The sequence below is a fragment of the Homo sapiens genome, chromosome 17 (assembly GCF_000001405.40).
Source record: "Homo sapiens chromosome 17, GRCh38.p14 Primary Assembly".
In the NCBI taxonomy this organism is placed as follows: Eukaryota; Metazoa; Chordata; class Mammalia; order Primates; family Hominidae; genus Homo; species Homo sapiens.
The window spans coordinates 50656502-50674655 of NC_000017.11; the positions used below are offsets into that span (position 1 = coordinate 50656502).

The 18154-nt window shown below is 53.9% G+C and overlaps 1 protein-coding gene across 2 annotated transcripts in view, besides 3 other annotated features; it reads left to right on the forward strand.

Annotated features, from left to right (window-relative positions):
* Positions 1 to 18154, forward strand: part of ABCC3 (ATP binding cassette subfamily C member 3) — a 57373-nt gene that overhangs the window by 21621 nt on the left and 17598 nt on the right. Inside the window, exons 3-19 of one of the 2 annotated variants that reach the window (NM_003786.4) lie at positions 201 to 326; positions 545 to 682; positions 1581 to 1706; positions 1934 to 1995; positions 2736 to 2867; positions 4422 to 4613; positions 7180 to 7357; positions 7449 to 7610; positions 8652 to 8744; positions 11053 to 11256; positions 11362 to 11508; positions 11929 to 12016; positions 12352 to 12418; positions 12639 to 12765; positions 12851 to 13027; positions 16470 to 16637; positions 16968 to 17157. In NM_003786.4, the coding sequence (NP_003777.2) occupies positions 201 to 326; positions 545 to 682; positions 1581 to 1706; positions 1934 to 1995; positions 2736 to 2867; positions 4422 to 4613; positions 7180 to 7357; positions 7449 to 7610; positions 8652 to 8744; positions 11053 to 11256; positions 11362 to 11508; positions 11929 to 12016; positions 12352 to 12418; positions 12639 to 12765; positions 12851 to 13027; positions 16470 to 16637; positions 16968 to 17157 (2377 nt within the window). Of the gene's footprint in view, positions 1 to 200; positions 327 to 544; positions 683 to 1580; positions 1707 to 1933; positions 1996 to 2735; positions 2868 to 4421; positions 4614 to 7179; positions 7358 to 7448; positions 7611 to 8651; positions 8745 to 11052; positions 11509 to 11928; positions 12017 to 12351; positions 12419 to 12638; positions 12766 to 12850; positions 13028 to 16469; positions 16638 to 16967; positions 17158 to 18154 lie in introns of those variants that run through there. The other variant, NM_001144070.2, reaches the window with a different exon arrangement.
* Positions 4685 to 5884: an enhancer, noted in NCBI's record as "P300/CBP strongly-dependent group 1 enhancer chr17:48738547-48739746 (GRCh37/hg19 assembly coordinates)". NCBI's record gives its function as "activates an origin of replication core promoter dependent on BRD2, BRD4, P300/CBP, MED14 and CDK7 cofactors, with strong dependence on P300/CBP, by STARR-seq in HCT116 cells {active_cell/tissue: HCT116}" and the evidence as "EXISTENCE:reporter gene assay evidence [ECO:0000049][PMID:35650434]".
* Positions 4685 to 6528: a biological region, named in NCBI's record as "P300/CBP strongly-dependent group 1 enhancer GRCh37_chr17:48738547-48739746".
* Positions 5547 to 6528: an enhancer, noted in NCBI's record as "H3K27ac-H3K4me1 hESC enhancer chr17:48739409-48740390 (GRCh37/hg19 assembly coordinates)". NCBI's record gives its function as "activates a minimal SCP1, AML or CMV promoter by ChIP-STARR-seq in naive H9 embryonic stem cells {active_cell/tissue: H9 hESC(naive)}" and the evidence as "EXISTENCE:reporter gene assay evidence [ECO:0000049][PMID:30033119]".

Sequence of the window (18154 nt, forward strand, 5' to 3'; positions counted from 1 at the left end):
CCCACTTGGGAAAGTTTAAGTAAGTTCAGCAACACTCTCCCCACCTCCAGCAAGCTTCTGGTCAGCTCCATTCCCAGACCTCAGTGCCAGTCCCAGGCAGGTCTAGTGGATTCTGGTGGCTTCAGGTACAAAGACCCCTTCCCAGTGAGGACTGTCCTTGCCTCTGGGGATGCGGATTCCAACCTGTGCTCTCTTCGCAGGTCCTGGGTGTCCTGCTGTGGTGCGTCTCCTGGGCGGACCTTTTTTACTCCTTCCATGGCCTGGTCCATGGCCGGGCCCCTGCCCCTGTTTTCTTTGTCACCCCCTTGGTGGTGGGGGTCACCATGGTCAGTGTGGGGCCCTGGGAAAGTGGATGGGGGAGGTCTCCATTGGGTTGTGGACTGTGATAGGGAAACTGTGGGCTCTGAGGAGAGGGCTGGACATATTGGGAATGGGAAGAAGAAGGGGGTGGCCCCAGAAACTTCTGGCCATGTGGGATGGGGAGAAATGGAGGCAGGTCCAGATGTGTGTGTTCTGCCCGGGCCTCCCTGCCCTCCCTGCACAGCTGCTGGCCACCCTGCTGATACAGTATGAGCGGCTGCAGGGCGTACAGTCTTCGGGGGTCCTCATTATCTTCTGGTTCCTGTGTGTGGTCTGCGCCATCGTCCCATTCCGCTCCAAGATCCTTTTAGCCAAGGCAGAGGTAAGGTTGGGGGAGAGGGGAACCTGCCAGGTTTAGCCCTGATAGGAGGGTGACCTCAGGGTTCAAAGTCACTGCTGGGTCCCAGGTCCCTCCCTCGAGGCTTCAAGTACAAACACAATTGTGTTGTTCTCCACTTGCTACATTTCTACCTGGAAGCAGGCTGAGGAGGGGGCACCAGTGTAACACAGGAATGAGCCAAGATGCCACCACTGTTGGACCATCATGTGAGGGTAGGGGGCTGTTCCACAGCACCCACCCACCAAGTGCAATATCTGACGTGGGTGTCAGTCAGTGCCTGTGTAATGAACACATGTATGCAGACAAGTGTGAAGAGTTCTGGCTTACCTAGAGGTCCCATTAGCATGTTCCCTTCCTTTCTTCCCACCTCCCTCAGTTCCTGGCCTTCCTCTTGATCTTCAGTGGCTGTGATGTTGGGCTGGTGGGATGGAACACTGCAGGCCAACCTAGTGCCTCCCATTTCTCCATCTCAGCGGGAAGCAGGCAAGGAGAGTAGCAAAGAACATAGGCTGTGAACAACCCACTTACTCCCCATGTGGGCTCGGGCGGGTCGCTGAAACCTTTGGAGCCTCATTTCCTTAATTGCAGAAAGGGCGTCATGAGCTGTCCTGCCTGTAGGCTGATGTCCCAGTTAGACAAGGTCATGTAGGTAAGGTGATGGCACCACACCTGGCACAGGTGCCACACCTGGTCCTCGCTGAACCAGAGCTCCCTTGTGATCCTTCCTCATCTCTCAGAGTCCTCTGAGTGGGGACCTGGAGGCCCCCAGGTGCTGCCTCCTGCCCCAGAGGAGACTGATGCCCCAAGGGACTCCGCAGGGCAGGGGCTGCAGGCCCAGGCTTTTCCAGTGCTTCTGACGCCCCTCCACTCTCCCACCCAGGGTGAGATCTCAGACCCCTTCCGCTTCACCACCTTCTACATCCACTTTGCCCTGGTACTCTCTGCCCTCATCTTGGCCTGCTTCAGGGAGAAACCTCCATTTTTCTCCGCAAAGAATGTCGACCCTGTGAGTTTCCCATGGAGGGTGCGGGGGCTCCACAGCTGAGTCCTCAGCCCAACTCTGACCAGCAGCCCCCAACCCCTCCAGTTCCTTTCAAAGTGGGAGAGAGGTCATCCCCACAATCTGTAAACTGGGGCTTGGAGCAGGAACAAGGGTCCCCTCCATTTCCCTACTCTGCTTTGAGAGGGTGGTGGGCACTCCTGATTCCCCCGTCCTATTCTCTCGCCTTCTAGAACCCCTACCCTGAGACCAGCGCTGGCTTTCTCTCCCGCCTGTTTTTCTGGTGGTTCACAAAGTGAGTTGGCTCTTCCACCAGCCAGGCCAGAGGGAGGGGAGGGATGGAAGGTGAGATGGAGAAAGGGGAGCAGGGCAGCAGTTTAGGGACCGGGCTGGCCACCTATCCCACCCCCCACCGCAGTGGGCACAGGGCAGATGAGGGTAGGGAAGTGGTCTGGGAGGGGGACCAAATGCAGAGGCCTGGCCTGGCCCAGTGCCGCCCCCAGGCTACAGGCCAGCCCTGCATCTGGCAGGCTGTGGGGACAGGCCCAGGAGGCTGGAAGAAGACTGTCATTAGTTCTGAGCTCCTCTGTTTGTGATAAACTTGCAGCCTGTCATCTCCTTGGCTGCGCCTCAGAGCGGCTTGAGCAGGATAACTGTGTCTGTGACCTGGGTGACAGCTCATTAACCCCACAGCACTGAGGAAGCACCCGAGGCTGGGGCCAAATTGCCCAGGCCTCGTCCTCACCCAGGGCCCCAGGCAGCGTGGATTCCATCACCAGGGCCTGGGGTGGGGAGGAGATGGGACACCTGGGGAGGAGGAGGAGAAGGGGGTAGTGGTAGGAACTTCGGAGGGAGAGCCAGTGACCTCAAGCCTATTCACTGAGGAAATGAAGGAGACACCTTTCATGGTCACAGTGCCCGAGGGAGACCCTCCTTTCTGGAGACCCTGGGGCCCTGGAGACACTGACCCTTGGCTCCAGGCTGCTAAACCCTGACCCTCTGCGGGGCTGCCTGCCGGGCTTCACCTCCCCCCAGGATGGCCATCTATGGCTACCGGCATCCCCTGGAGGAGAAGGACCTCTGGTCCCTAAAGGAAGAGGACAGATCCCAGATGGTGGTGCAGCAGCTGCTGGAGGCATGGAGGAAGCAGGAAAAGCAGACGGCACGGTGAGGCCCTCCCCTTGCCCCAACACCCAGCCCCTTCGCTTACCCCAGATCTCCTGCAGAGGACGCTGGTAGACCTTGGAGGGCGGCATTGCTGGGGTGGCAAGCAGAGCAGGACCAGGTGATTTCTTGGCAGCCTCGGGACCATTCTATGGGAAGCTTAGGCCTGGATGGCGCTAGTTCTCCCAGCTCTGGTGGGGGCAGGAGAATGGCTGGCACTTTGGAGCAACTACTCCATCCCAGGTCCCATCCTAAGGATATAAATAAACTCACTTAATTTTTCAACAGCCCTAAAGGGTAGGTTCAAGTGTCCCTGTGTTACAGATGGGGACACTGGGGCCGGGTGTGGTGGCTCACAGCTGTAATCCTAACACTTTGAGATGCCAAGGCAGGAGGATTGCTTGAGTCCAAGAGTTCAAGACCAGCCTGGGCAATATAGTGAGACCTTGTCTCTACAAAAAATAAACAAGATGAGCCGGGCATGGTGGTGTGCACCTGTAGTCCCAGCTACTTGAGAGGCTGAGGTGGGAGGATCATTTGAGCCCAAGAGGTCAAGGCTATAGTGAGCTGAGATTGTGCCACTGTACTCCAGTCTGGGCAATAGAGTGAGACCTTTTCTCAACAACAACAAAAACAGATGGAGACACCGAAGCACAGAAATTTAACAGAGGGCCTCCCAGGGTCCCCAAGTTGGTGGTGGCAGAGCTGGAATCCACATGGAGCCGGCTGGCCCCAGAGGTTCTCCTCATATCACTGCACCACCCTGCCTGACTGAGAGGGCTGATTCCAGGGCCAGGAGCCAGCACACCCCTGCCAATTCTGCCTCCTCCTGTCTGGAGGCGGCGGCTGAATGAGATGATCTTCCCCTGAGGGGTCTTCCCACTGTCAGCCTCTTATCAAGGACCACAAACCTGTCTCTGGCCAACTGCCTCACCAAGAGAGCTGACGCTGAGCATCATCTTTCTCCACCCAATTCTGACCCCAGGATTGAACCCTCCCTCCTCCCATCCACAATCCAGGCCTAGGAGTTCAATGTTTGCTCAGCCCGGAGCTTCCGGTTGTCACCAGCTGTTGGAGGAGCCTGGGGCTGGGCATGGTTAGCAGTATCCTGGCTTTCATGGCTTGGAGCCTCCACGAAGACCTATGGGCCCCCAGTCTGCCTGCTGCACCCCCTCTCAGTCCCTCCATGCCACTCCACCCCCTCCCTGTTCAGCTGCCCGGTGGCTGTACCAACAGCCATCCTTGATCTTATCTACCTTCCCTCTTGGCGTCCTCCCTGGAGCCAGCACTGGGGAGGCGGGGAGAGGGCCAGACTGGGGGGATAGCTGGGTTTTAGAGTCCTTGTGGTAGCAGTCTGGCCACCCCTTCAGATGCCCTCTGGCAGCTGAGGACAGAGTCGCTTGTGCAATTCTTATGCTGTCTGTTCCCCTCCCAGCTCTGAGAGCCAAGAAAACAGCTCCTTCCTCCTCCTCACTCCTAGCCAGCCCAGCCTAGCCCTTGGCTTCCTGGAGCCCCTGTCCCCATTCCTAACCCACTGCTCCTTCCTCCCTGGACCAGACACAAGGCTTCAGCAGCACCTGGGAAAAATGCCTCCGGCGAGGACGAGGTGCTGCTGGGTGCCCGGCCCAGGCCCCGGAAGCCCTCCTTCCTGAAGGCCCTGCTGGCCACCTTCGGCTCCAGCTTCCTCATCAGTGCCTGCTTCAAGCTTATCCAGGACCTGCTCTCCTTCATCAATCCACAGCTGCTCAGGTCTCTCCACACTCCGGCTCACTATAGCCCTGCCCTGGGCAGCAGGGCTGGCTGGCTAGCCCAGAGGAAGGAACAACGTACAGTGAAAAGAACCCCAGACCAGGAACCAGGGAGGCTAGCTCCACTTTCTGTGTGACCTTTGGCAAGTGGCATTGCCTGACTTGTTTCCTCACTCACATTCAACTTAGAATTGCTGTGCATATACTATGTGCCGGGCACCGTGGTGTGTACGTTAACAAGCATTGGGTCTTTAAATCTTCCCAACAATCCTATGCGGAATTGCCCCATTCCCATGTCACAGATGAGAAAGCAGGAACTCAGAGAGGTGAAGTGACTTGGCCAAGGGCACACAGCAAAGAAGGAATCAGGTCTGAGTCCAGGACTCTGAGCTCCGACTGAGGTGCTCTGTCCCCACCATCAGGCTCTAACATCTGTCTCAGGAATGGCTTGGACTAGAACGAGCTCTCAAATGAGAGGGTGGGAAGGAGAGCTGCCTAGTAGCTAAGTCCCCACCTCCTTGCCCCTCCGTGCATGCATTAATTTGTTCAGCAAACATTTATTGAACCTCCAGGGTACCAGAATGGTGCTCGATACTAGGGATACAGAGTTCAATAAGACAGGGTCTTGATGTCTTATGGGAGAAACCAGCGTGTAAATCAATTAGAATTCAGTGGGGGCAGAAGTGTTCTCGGGTGTCTGGAAAACCCCGGGAGGGGCAAAGAAGCCAGCCTGGGATGCAGCAGGAAGCACCCACTGGCTTGGGAGGTCAACGAATTTGGAGAGACAAGTAGGTGAAGAAACAGGGGAAAGTTCAGCCTCAGCTTAGTCACAAAGCCCTGAAACAGCATGACTCAGGTGTTTCTGAGTGGCAGAGGAAATGGCAACGAGAGGGAGGGGCAGGAAAACAGAGAGAGGGAGAGCTAAGGATATCCTTGAAAGATCTGAGCCAGGGAGGGGCATCTGGCTTCAAGGATCTCCTGCCAGGAGTGTGGGGGATGTAGGGCAGGGTGGCTGGATGGAAGTGGGCCAACCCGGTCAGATGGAGTCCAGGCCAGGAATGAGACAAGTATTCAGGAGCAATTTGGGAGATGGGCGTGTGCGCCAGAGAGACAGAGGAGTGCCAGGCAACCTGGGTGCTGGCCTGGGTAACTGGAGGACGATGGATCTTTTGCTGAGCTGATGGGCTCGGTGGGAGGAGGAGGCTGGGTGGGGGGCAAGGTGGTGGATGGAGTCTGGTCATGTGGGGCCAGTGGTGCTGGTGGGTCCTCCAAGGGGAGATTCCCAGCTAGCTGGAAGTCAAACTCTCGAGCCCAAGAGTTTGAGACCAGCCTGAGCAACATAGCAAGACCCTGTCTCTACAAAAAAGTTAAGATATTAGCCAGGCCTGGTGGCATACGCCTAGAGTCCTAGCTACTCAAGAGGCTGAGGTGGGAAGACTGCCTGAGCCTGAGAGGTTGAGGCTGCCGTGAGCTGTGATGGCACCACCGCACTCCAGTCTAGGTGACAGAGAGAGACCCTGTCTCAAAAAAAAAAAAAAAAAAAAAGAGAGAGAGAGACACCAGTCACTGGGCTGGGGCCACTGGGGCCCACCCTACTCCAATATGACCTCACCAAATGAGGCCACGTTCACAGGTACCAGGTGTTGGGAGCTGAACATATCTTTCTGGGAGACACAACTTAAGCTATCACAGAAGGGGAGGCCTGGCTATGATTATGGCTGGAGGGCTCCATGTAGTCGAGAGGAGAGTGTCCCAACAATGAAGAGACTCGGTCATGTCAATAGGTGAAGGTGTAGAGCTTCCAGCAGAGGTGGCCAGGGTGAAGCTCAGCGGCAAAGGGGGCAACAGCGCAGCAAGTTCCTGAGGAGGCAGAGGAAGGCCAGGGCTCGGGGGCAGGGGCAGCCTCCGACAGCCTGAGCACCAGAAAAAGGAGGACAAGCCACTGGAGGGCAGTTTGTGAGTGGCAAGGAGTTTGTGGGTGGCAGGGAGTTCTCAATGGGTGGCTAAGCAAGAAGGCAGGTAGCTGCTGAGAGGGGTGGGGGGCTGGGATGGGCCTGAAGGGAAGAGAAGAGAGGTGAAGAAGGCCCCAAGAGCGGGGGCGGATTAGGGACCTAGAGAAGGTTGCTAGGCAGTGCTGGGGGCCACTGAGTTTGGAAAGGTGGATTTGAGCGGCAAGAGTCTTTGTGGTCATGTGGCGGAATCTAGAGCCCCCAGCAGCCTAGGAGAAGGAGCAGGGAAGTCCAGTCAATGGAAACGTGGCATTTCTTCCCGCCATATGTCAGGAGGTAAGAAGGCAGGCAGGTGAGGCTGGTGGTGAGAGCGTCATCGATAGGGCGTGCAGCAGGGTCCATGGTGGATAGAGAACGAGGTGAAGGCAGAGTGGAGCCAGGAGGTCGTGGTCTTGAGGCAGTACTGGGTTGACCCTCCCTGGCCCAAGAGGTTGGAGGGGGTGGAGGTTTCAGAGGCCAGGGGTGCAGTGGAGACTGCGGGTAAAAGCAAAGGGCAGCAGAGGAGGGAGCAGCCATGGGGGCAGCACTGCCCACCTCACTCCTCTCTCCTCCCCACAGCATCCTGATCAGGTTTATCTCCAACCCCATGGCCCCCTCCTGGTGGGGCTTCCTGGTGGCTGGGCTGATGTTCCTGTGCTCCATGATGCAGTCGCTGATCTTACAACACTATTACCACTACATCTTTGTGACTGGGGTGAAGTTTCGTACTGGGATCATGGGTGTCATCTACAGGAAGGTCAGCTGGAGCAGGGCCCAGGGGAAAGGCTGGCCCTGGGCAGCTTGCAAGAGGCTCGCAGCCAAGTCCACCCACTACTGTCTACCTGCAGGCTCTGGTTATCACCAACTCAGTCAAACGTGCGTCCACTGTGGGGGAAATTGTCAACCTCATGTCAGTGGATGCCCAGCGCTTCATGGACCTTGCCCCCTTCCTCAATCTGCTGTGGTCAGCACCCCTGCAGATCATCCTGGCGATCTACTTCCTCTGGCAGGTGACTCTCCAACCCTGACCTCTGCCTCCTTCCTCTGACATGCTGCAGAAGTGGCAAGAGAGGATTATTCTGGAACTGGGAGCATGGCACATGCTTGTAGTCCCAGCTGCTCAGGCGGCTGAGGCAAGAGGATCACTTGAGCCCAAGAGTTCTGGCTGCAGTGCGCCACGATTGTGCCTGCGAATAGCCACCACACTCCAGCCTGGGCAACATAGCAAGACCTTGTCTCTAAAAAGAAACAAAGAAAACAGAAAAAAAGAAGGAGGGTTATTCTGGGTTAGCAGAGGGGATATAGAATTGACACAAGAGCTGGCTGGGCACGGTGGCTCACGCCTGTAATCCCAGCATTTTGGGAGACCAAGGCGGGTGGATCACGAGGTCAGGAGTTCGAGACCAGCCCGGCCAGGATGGTGAAACCCCATCTCTACTAAAAATACAAAAATTAGCCAGACGTGGTGGCGGGTGCCTGTAGTCACAGCTACTCAGGAGGCTGAGGCAGGAGAATCGCTTGAACCCAGGAGGCAGAGGTTGCAGTGAGCCGAGATCATACCACTGCACTCTAGCCTGGGTGACAGAGCAAGACTCTGTCTCAAAAAAAAAAAAAAAAAAAAAAAAAGAATTGACACAAGAGCTTCCCTAGGCATTGGTGGGGATGGAGGGATAGGACTTCGAGGATGCTGATGTCTGCAAAGGAATCTTCCCAACATCTGTTGCTATCCTTCCTGCAGAAGCCAGGGAGGAAAGAAAGTCTTGGAGGGAGGTGGGTGTGACTCTGGCTGTCATCGTCTATATTTGCCTTCCTGTGTGTCTGGACACCCTTCTATATCTGCTGTCTGTCCCTGTCGTCGTTATCTAATGGCTGGCTGCTTCTACAAATGTTGTGGTCATTCTGACTTTCTATCTGTTTGGCCAACCACCATCTTTTGCTTCCTGCCCATCTACACATTTCAAGTTAACAGGCCTCTGTTTGCCTGTTGGGTTCTCTCTGTAGACTTTGGTAATCTGTCCCTATGTGTCATCTATCCACCGGTGCCTCCTCAGAACCTAGGTCCCTCTGTCCTGGCTGGAGTCGCTTTCATGGTCTTGCTGATTCCACTCAACGGAGCTGTGGCCGTGAAGATGCGCGCCTTCCAGGTAGGTGCTGTCAGAGGTGCATCCTCCTGCCTGCAGCACCCGGCCGGCTGCCTGGGGGAAGGTGTCCACTAACCTTGGGGCCTCCCAACTACCTTGCTTCCTGAGTATGGATGGCTACTAGCCATTTGCAGAAACCATAGCTCACTCTTCCCTCACAGCTCTCAGAGGGTTTTACTGACATTCTCATTTTGTAGCAGAAGACCAACGCTTAGAGAAATAATGGCAGTCCAGAATCAGGCAGGGCTGGGACTCAAACCTGACTATCCTGGTCTAACAAGGAGTTTTCCCGCTGCACTGTGCTAAGCATGAATAGCCAGTCACTCAGTCTACTATTTGCAAACATTTCTTGAAGTGTTTTTTTTCTTTTTTTTTTTTTTTGAGACAGGGTCTCGTTCTGTCACCCATGCTGGAATGCAGTGGCATGATCTCGGCTCACTGCAACCTCTGCCTCCCGGGTTCAAGCGATCTTCCTGCCTCAGCCTCCCTAGTAGCTGGGACTACAGGCACATGCCACCACACCCGGCTTATTTTTGTATTTTTTTTTTTAGTAGAGATGGGGTTTCACCATGTTGGCCAGGCTGGTCTCAAACTCCTGACCTCAGGTGATCCGTTCATCTTAGCCTCCCAAAGTGCTGGGATTACAGGTGTGAGCCATCACACCTGGCCTATTGAAGTCTACTAGCTTCCCACTGCCCATAGGAAAAATGACAAACCCCCTAAGAAGACTCAGCAGGCTTCTGCTTACCTTGCAAGTCCTCACCCCCTGCGGACTGGCCAAGTTTCAGCCAGTCTGGTCTTCTTTCTTTTCTCCACAGCACCAAGCTCAGGGTACCTCTAGGGGCCACCACATATACTATTCCCTCTGCCTGGAATGCTTGTCATCCCCCTCTTGCCTGCCTAACTCCTTTCCTTCCCTTACCTCTCGGCATTGAAGTCACTTCCTCGGCTGGGCACGGTGGCTCATGCCTGTAATCCCAGAGCTTTGGGAGGCCGAGGCAGGTGGATCACCTGAGGTTGGGAGATCGAGACCAGCCAGACCAACATGGAGAAACCCCGTCTCTACTAAAAATACAAAATTAGCCGGGCATGGTGGCACATGCCTGTAATCCCAGCTACTCTGGAGTCTGAGGCAGGAGAATCCCTTGAATCCAGGAGGCAGAGGTTGCGGTGAGCCAAGATCGCGCCATTGCACTCCCACCTGGGCAACAAGAGCGAAACTCCGTCTCAAAAAAAAAAGTCACTTCCTCCAGAAGTCCACCCTGACTGCCCAGTCTCAGTCTAAGTTAGTTTCCCTGCCATCACCTCATTACTTTCTTACAGGATCCTGTGATTTCCCATCAGAACACACATAATGATTAATAATTAAGCATTTATTCAGATCATTGTTTGCTTATTGTATGCCTCCCCCATCAGATCGTCAGCTGTATCATGGCAGGGGCCTTGTCTGAATTCATCGTGACAAATTCTACACGTAGCCCATGGCCTGGCACATAGTAGGCACTCCATAAATAGGGGTTGAATGAATACATTAATCTGGTGTGCCACACCTTGGGCTAAGGTCTTGGAGAACAAAGAGAAATAAATAGTCCATCCCCTCAGGAAGCTCACAGTCTGATTAGAGAAACATATATGTAAAGGAATGGTTATGGAACAAAAGGAAAGTGCAATGTGCTTTAGAAACCCAGGGAAGGGGACCAGGTGTGGTGGCTCACACCTGTAATCCCAGCACTTGGGGAGGCCAAGGTGGGAGGATCACATGAGGCCAGGAGTTTGAAATCAGCCTGGGCAACAGAGTGAGACCTCGTCCCTACAAAAAAATTTAAAAATTAGCTGGGCATGGTTGTTCATGCCTGTAGTTCCAGCTAGTCAGGAGGCTGAGACAGGAGGATCAAAGGAGCCCAGGAGTTTGAGGCTGCAGTGAGCTATGATTGTACCACTGCAGTCCAGCCTGGGCAACACAGTGAGGCACCATCTCTAAAATAAATAATACTAGCAATAATAATAAGAAGAAGAAAAAGAAGTAGTAGGAGAAGAAACCCAGGGCAGGGGACAGAGGATGCTGCCTGGGGAGGCCGGTGCAGTGGCACTGAGGGTGGAGATGGATCTTGTCAGGCAGAGGACACAGGGAGGCAGGGGCTGTGCATTCCAGGCCAAGGCACAGCACAGGCCCAGCAAGGAGTTGTGAGAAGGAATGGTGGGCAGCGTGGAATGGCTGCAATGGATGAGAATGGATGGAAGGTAGGACCCTGTGAGCAGGAGGTCAGGGGAGGGAGCAGGTGTGCCACTGACACTCTTTCTGCCTGCACAGGTAAAGCAAATGAAATTGAAGGACTCGCGCATCAAGCTGATGAGTGAGATCCTGAACGGCATCAAGGTGCTGAAGCTGTACGCCTGGGAGCCCAGCTTCCTGAAGCAGGTGGAGGGCATCAGGCAGGGTGAGCTCCAGCTGCTGCGCACGGCGGCCTACCTCCACACCACAACCACCTTCACCTGGATGTGCAGCCCCTTCCTGGTGAGGCTTGGCACAGGGCTGGGTCCCTGCCTCCAGGGCTCTGGGTGCCCAGGCATGGCCAGGGCTCATTGGACTCTACCCTGACACCACCTCCACGCTGCTCAGGTGACCCTGATCACCCTCTGGGTGTACGTGTACGTGGACCCAAACAATGTGCTGGACGCCGAGAAGGCCTTTGTGTCTGTGTCCTTGTTTAATATCTTAAGACTTCCCCTCAACATGCTGCCCCAGTTAATCAGCAACCTGACTCAGGTAACCCTGGGTAGGGCTGGGGGCTCTACTGGAGTTGGAACAGGTTGTTGGGGTCAGGGAAGGGTCACTTAGGGCAAGGGATAATCAGGGGGAGTTATTGGATTCAGGGAAGGTTGCTAGCATTATGAAGAGCTATTCAAGGTTGAATGAGGTCATTAAGGTCAGGGGTCATTTGGAGTCACAGGTGGTCAGGTCGGGTGTCTGGAAACCTGAGTTCTGTAGATAGCCTCCTCTTACCAACCTGGACTTTCTCTTTGGGCAGTGGGAGCCATGGAAGACTCAGTCGTGGGAGGGACCCCAGTGCTAGTGTCTGGGCCCTCAGGGGGTCCTGCCTAGCCCAGGATGCTGGGGATGGGGCGAGGGTAGGGGTTGGGGGTTGGGAAAGTACAGTCTCTAGGGCTGACTCACATCCTCCCGTAGGCCAGTGTGTCTCTGAAACGGATCCAGCAATTCCTGAGCCAAGAGGAACTTGACCCCCAGAGTGTGGAAAGAAAGACCATCTCCCCAGGTCTAGAGAGCCCCTACCTGGGCTGCCTGCCCCAGTCCTTGCTCCAGAAAAACCTCTGTTTCAAGCTTTTCCTTTGTTCTCTCCTGACCCCTTTTCTTCTTCCTCTGTTCACATCTGCTTCGACTCTGACCTCCTCCCTCTTCCGGGTTCTCTGCTCTCCTCCGCCCTCCTCCACAGGGCTCCCCACATCCCTTTCTTCCTCCCTTTTCCCAAGGATCCCCTCCCCATGGCCCAGGCTCCTCCCCTGTCCTCCTTTCCCCTGCCCCCCAGCCTCCCTGCAGGCTACCCCATCCCTTGAGCTCCCTCCCTGACCCTGCCCACCTTGGTCCTCTCAGGCTATGCCATCACCATACACAGTGGCACCTTCACCTGGGCCCAGGACCTGCCCCCCACTCTGCACAGGTACCAGCTTCTCCCACTCCCTTCCCAGCTGCCCACGGTGGGCTGGAAGTTCAGATCAATAGCAGCACCCTGCAAAGCCTTTGACCAAGAATGCAGGAAGAGCTTCAGCCTGCCAGGGGGGTGTCTGGAAGGGCGGAGGGCTTGGTTCTGCAGGTGGAGGGTTGGAGACCAAAACCCTGATCCCTGCCTCTAACTGGACTCCTGGGGTCCTTGCCCCCAGCCTAGACATCCAGGTCCCGAAAGGGGCACTGGTGGCCGTGGTGGGGCCTGTGGGCTGTGGGAAGTCCTCCCTGGTGTCTGCCCTGCTGGGAGAGATGGAGAAGCTAGAAGGCAAAGTGCACATGAAGGTGAGAGAGGCAGGGGCTCCTGGGCAGGGTGTGGGGCTCAGCCAGGCCTTGGGCAAGCCCCGAGGTAAATTTCTCCTGTGGCCAGGGCTCCGTGGCCTATGTGCCCCAGCAGGCATGGATCCAGAACTGCACTCTTCAGGAAAACGTGCTTTTCGGCAAAGCCCTGAACCCCAAGCGCTACCAGCAGACTCTGGAGGCCTGTGCCTTGCTAGCTGACCTGGAGATGCTGCCTGGTGGGGATCAGACAGAGATTGGAGAGAAGGTACAGAGTCCTCTTCCATCCCTAAGAGGCTAGGGCATAGAGCTGCCCACCTCAACCCAGCCCAGGTCCATATATTCATCCCTTCATTCACACATTGGTGTAACGTTATGCCCAACTCTGTGCCAGGCACTGGGGAAACAGATCTATTAGCAGATCTGTTTAGTGAACAAGTAGGAACTATTGAATATTCTAGGAGCCAGGCTGAAGGCCTGTGCAGGGTACAGGGAGGGCACAGCAGGGAGCCTACATAAGGAAGAGCATCACTTTTTTTTTTTCTTTCTTTCTGAGATAAGGCCTCACTCTGTTGCCCAGGATGGAGTGCCATGGTGACATCATGGGACGCTGCAGCTTGGAACTCCTGGGCTCAAGTGATCCTCTCGCCTCAGCCTCCTGAGTATCTGGGACCACAGGCACATGCCACCATACCCAGCTAAATTTTTAATTTTTTTTAGAGACAGCGTCTTGCCATGTCGCCCAGGCTGGCTCAGGAGATCCTCCCACCCTGGCCTCCCAGAGTACTGGGATTACAGGCATGAGCTGCTGCACCTGGCTGAGCATCACTTTTTTTTTTTAGACAGAGCCTTGCTCTGTCACCCAGGCTGGAGTGCAGTGGCGCAGATCATGGCTCACTGCAACCTCCACCTCCCGGGTTCAAGCAATTCTCGTGTCTCAGCCACCCGAGTAGCTGGGATTACGGGTGCGCACCACCACACTTGGCTAATTTTTGTGTTTTTAGTACAGACGGGGTTTTGCCATGTTGGCCCATCTGGTCTTGAACTCCTGGCTTCAAGTGATCCCCCCGCCTCAGCCTCTCAAAGTGCTGGGATTACAGGCATGAGCACCGTGCCTAGCCTTAAGCATCACTTTTGACCTCAGTTTTAACAACTGAGGAGGAGGAGCTCATCATGTATCTGTTCATTCATTTACCATATATTTATTAAGCACCCACTCTATTCTGGGAAATAGTATACAGTAGTGAATACTAAAATGCCGGGCTAATATCTCTACCTTCATATAGCTCACATTCTAGTGGCAGGAAGAGATAATAAGTAAGATAAATAAGTACAATATATAATATGTTAGATAAATGCTCAGTGGAAAAAATAAAGCGGGGAAGGAATACAGGAATGCCTGCAGAGTTGAATGGTTAAGGTAGCTTGGGAAATCCTCACTGAGAATCAGAGAACTCAACAAAGAGACCGAGTGAGCCTTGTCTGGAGCCAGAAAGCTCTGTCTGGGGCCATGGAACCCTGTATGGGGTCTTGGAGTTCTCTGGCATGACTAGGAGTTGGGAAATGGAGGGAAAAGATAGAGAGAGGCAGAACCCTGATTACCTTGGTTAAGATTTTGGCCTTTACTCTAAAAAACATGGAACACTGGGGAAAATTTGGGGCTTTGCTTTTTAACAATTTTTAACTGTGGTAAAAACCACACATAACATAAAATATATCATCTTGCCCGGCATGGTGGCTCCCAGCACTCTGGGAGGCTGAGGCAGGTGTATCATTTGAGGTAAGGAGTTCAAGGCCAGCCTTGCTAACATGATAAAACCCCATCTCTACTAGAAATACAAACAAATTAGCCGAGTGTGATGGCGTGTGCCTGTAGTCCCAGCTACTCAGGAGGCTGAGGCAGGAGCATTGCGTAAGCCCAGGAGGCGGAGGTTGCAATGAACTGAGATTGATTGTATCACTGCATTCCAGCCTGGGCGACAGAGCAAGACTCTGTCTTAAAAAAAAAAAAAAGAAAAAAAAACTTAATCATTTCTTAGTGTACAGTTCAGCAATGTTAAGTACATTTACATTGCTGTGCAACCGATCTCCAGAACCTTTTCATCTTGCAAAACTAAAATTGTGCCTATTAAGCAACTCCTCATTCCCCACTGCCCCTAGGCCCCAGTAACCACCATTCTATTTTCTGTTCCTAGGAATTTGACTACTTAGTATCTTAGTCCATTTTCTATTGCTTATAAGAGAATGCCTGAAACTAGGTAATTTATAAAGAAAAGAAATGTATTTTGTACAGTTACGGAGGCTGAAGAGTCCACGGTCCAGGGGCTGCATCTGGAGAGGGCCTCCTTGTTGGCGGGGAGTCTGCAGAGTCCCAAGGCCATACAGGGCATCCCATGGCAAGGGGACCGAGCATGCTAGCTCAGGTCTCTCTTCCTTCCTTCCTTTTTTTTTTTTTTTTTTTTTTTTTTTTTTGAGACAAGGCTTCACTCTGTTGCCCAGACTGTAGATTGGAGTACAGCGGCGTGATCTTGGCTCACTGCAACCTCCGCCTCCCAGGTTCAAACGATTCTCCTTCCTCAGCCTCCCGAATAGCTGGGATTACAGGCGCACGCAACTACAGCCCGACTAATTTTTGTATTTTTAGTAGAGATGGGTTTCACCATATTGGCCATGCTGGTCTTGAACTCCTGACTTCAAATGATCCACCCACCTCGACCTCCCAAATTGCTGGGATTACAGGCATGAGCCACCACGCGCGACCTCAGGTTTCTCTTTCTTTCTTATAAAGCCACCGGTCCCACTCCCCCAGTAACCCATTCACGCATCAACCTATTAATCCATAAATGGATCAACCATTCATGAGGGCTCTGTTTTCATGACCTAATCACCTGGTAAATGCCACCCCTCAATCCTGCCACACTGGGGGGTAAGTTTCAACATGCACTTTGGAAGGAACAAATATTTCAACCATATCACCTAGGTACCTCACGTAAGTGGAATCATCCAGCATTTGTCTTTTCGTGACGGGCTTATTTCACTTAGCATAATGTCCTCAAGGCATATCCATGTTGTAGCATGTGTCAGAATTTCCCTCCTTGTAAGGCTGAATGATATTTCATTATAGGTATATACACATTTGTGTGCCCATTTATCCGTAGATGGGTTGGGCAGGACACCAAGCTGGGCAGGGTGGTGACCAATGGAGCAGAATGGCCTCACCTGCCCCAGGAGGACTTACCCTTTACCTCTGTCCCTCACAGCATTGCAGGGACAGACTAGGCCCCATGTGAAATATAGATTCAGAAGACTGCTGTTCTGGTCAGGCACAGTGGCTCACACCTGTAATCCCAGCACTTTACTTTGGGAGGCTGACGTGGGCCAATTGCTTGAGCTCAGGAGTTGGAGACCAGGCTGGGCAACATATGGAGATTCTGTCTCTATAAAAAATAAAACATTTTAGTCAGTAGCCAGGCATGGTGGTCCTGCAATCAATCCTAGCTACTCGGGAGGCTGAGGCATGAGAATTGCTCAAACGCGAGAGGCAGAGGTTGCAGTGAGCCAAGATCGCACCACTGCACTCCAGCCTGGGTGAGTGAGACCCCATCTCAGGAAAAAAAAAAAAAAATCTGCCATCCCAAATAACAGTGGACAGGCCGTTGTCTCCCTGTGCCTGTCTGACCCCATTTTTCCCACCCCCCGCCTCCCTCCAGGGCATTAACCTGTCTGGGGGCCAGCGGCAGCGGGTCAGTCTGGCTCGAGCTGTTTACAGTGATGCCGATATTTTCTTGCTGGATGACCCACTGTCCGCGGTGGACTCTCATGTGGCCAAGCACATCTTTGACCACGTCATCGGGCCAGAAGGCGTGCTGGCAGGCAAGGTGAGGCCTGCCAGAGGCTAAGGGGGCTAAGGTGAGATCTGAGGCCCGAAGAGAGAGCTGGTGAGAGGCTGAGGGGTTTGGATGAGACTTGGAGGTGTGGGGGGCGCAAGAAGTGGGCATGTGGGTTGGGCATCAGGAGAAACCTGTGGGGACAACTCCCCCACCTGCGAGGTTCTGAGCAGGCTGTGGCGAGCACAGGGTGAGTCACCCATGTGCCTGTCCAAGCTCCCTGGCACATGGGCACACTTCACACTCACTCTGTGGCTCCGTGCCTGTGCCAGGGGTGTGCTGGAGGGTGGTAGGGGTGAGAGCCTGCTGCCTTCTCCCCAGACGCGAGTGCTGGTGACGCACGGCATTAGCTTCCTGCCCCAGACAGACTTCATCATTGTGCTAGCTGATGGACAGGTGTCTGAGATGGGCCCGTACCCAGCCCTGCTGCAGCGCAACGGCTCCTTTGCCAACTTTCTCTGCAACTATGCCCCCGATGAGGACCAAGGGCACCTGGAGGACAGCTGGACCGGTATCTGCCATCCTGGGCCCTCTGATTCCCATGCCTTCCCAGCATTCCCCCTGTCTGGGGTCTCTGAGTGTGTCTAGACTGGCCTAGTGTTGTGCCAGGCAGGTTCTGGGAAACTTGGGCCATCTGTGTGACAGTCACCAGAGGTAAAGTAAACTGGACATAGTCGGGTCCCACTGCCTCCTCCATCCTACTCTACCCTAACTGTGGGAACTCAGATCCTCCGCCCCGGTCTCAGAGCCTGTTTTCTTTCTTTCTTTCTTTCTTTCTTTCTTTCTTTCTTTCTTTCTTTCTTTCTTTCTTTCTTTCTTTCTTTCTTTCTTTCTCTCTCTCTCTCTCTCTCTCTCTCTCTCTCTCTCTCTCTCTCTCTCTCTCTCTCTCTTTCTTTCTTTCTTTCTTTCTTTCTTTCTTTCTTTCTTTTTTTTCTTTTGAGGCAGAGTCTGGCTCTGTCGCCGGGCTGGAGTGCAGTGGTACAATCTCAGCTCACTGCAACCTCTGCCTCCCAGGTTCAAGTGATTCTCCTGCCTCAGGCTCCCGAGTAGCTGGGACTACAGGCATGCGCCACCACGCCTGGCTAATTTTTGTATTTTTAGTACAGACATGGTTTCACCATGTTGGCCAGGATGGTCTCGATCTCTTGACCTCGTGATCTGCCTGCCTCGGCCTCCCAAAGTGCTGGGATTACAGGTGTGAGCCACCTTGCCCGATCTCAGAGCCTGTTTTCCATCTGTTGAAAGCATAGGAGGGCCCAGGCCCAGCTTGTGTGGCAAGGCTGCTTCATGGATAAATAGTTTGGCAAGTATGCAAGTGCTTAGCAAAGCCGCTTATTTATCAACCAAAATTTATTGGACAATCACTATATACAGGCACTGTTCCAGACACTAAGCTATAGCAGTGAGCAAACAAAAAAATTATAGTCCTCATGGAGCTTGTTGACGTCTCTGGGCTCACAACATGCCCCTGGCTCCTTGTTGCCCAGACCCAGCTCCCCAGCCCCCAA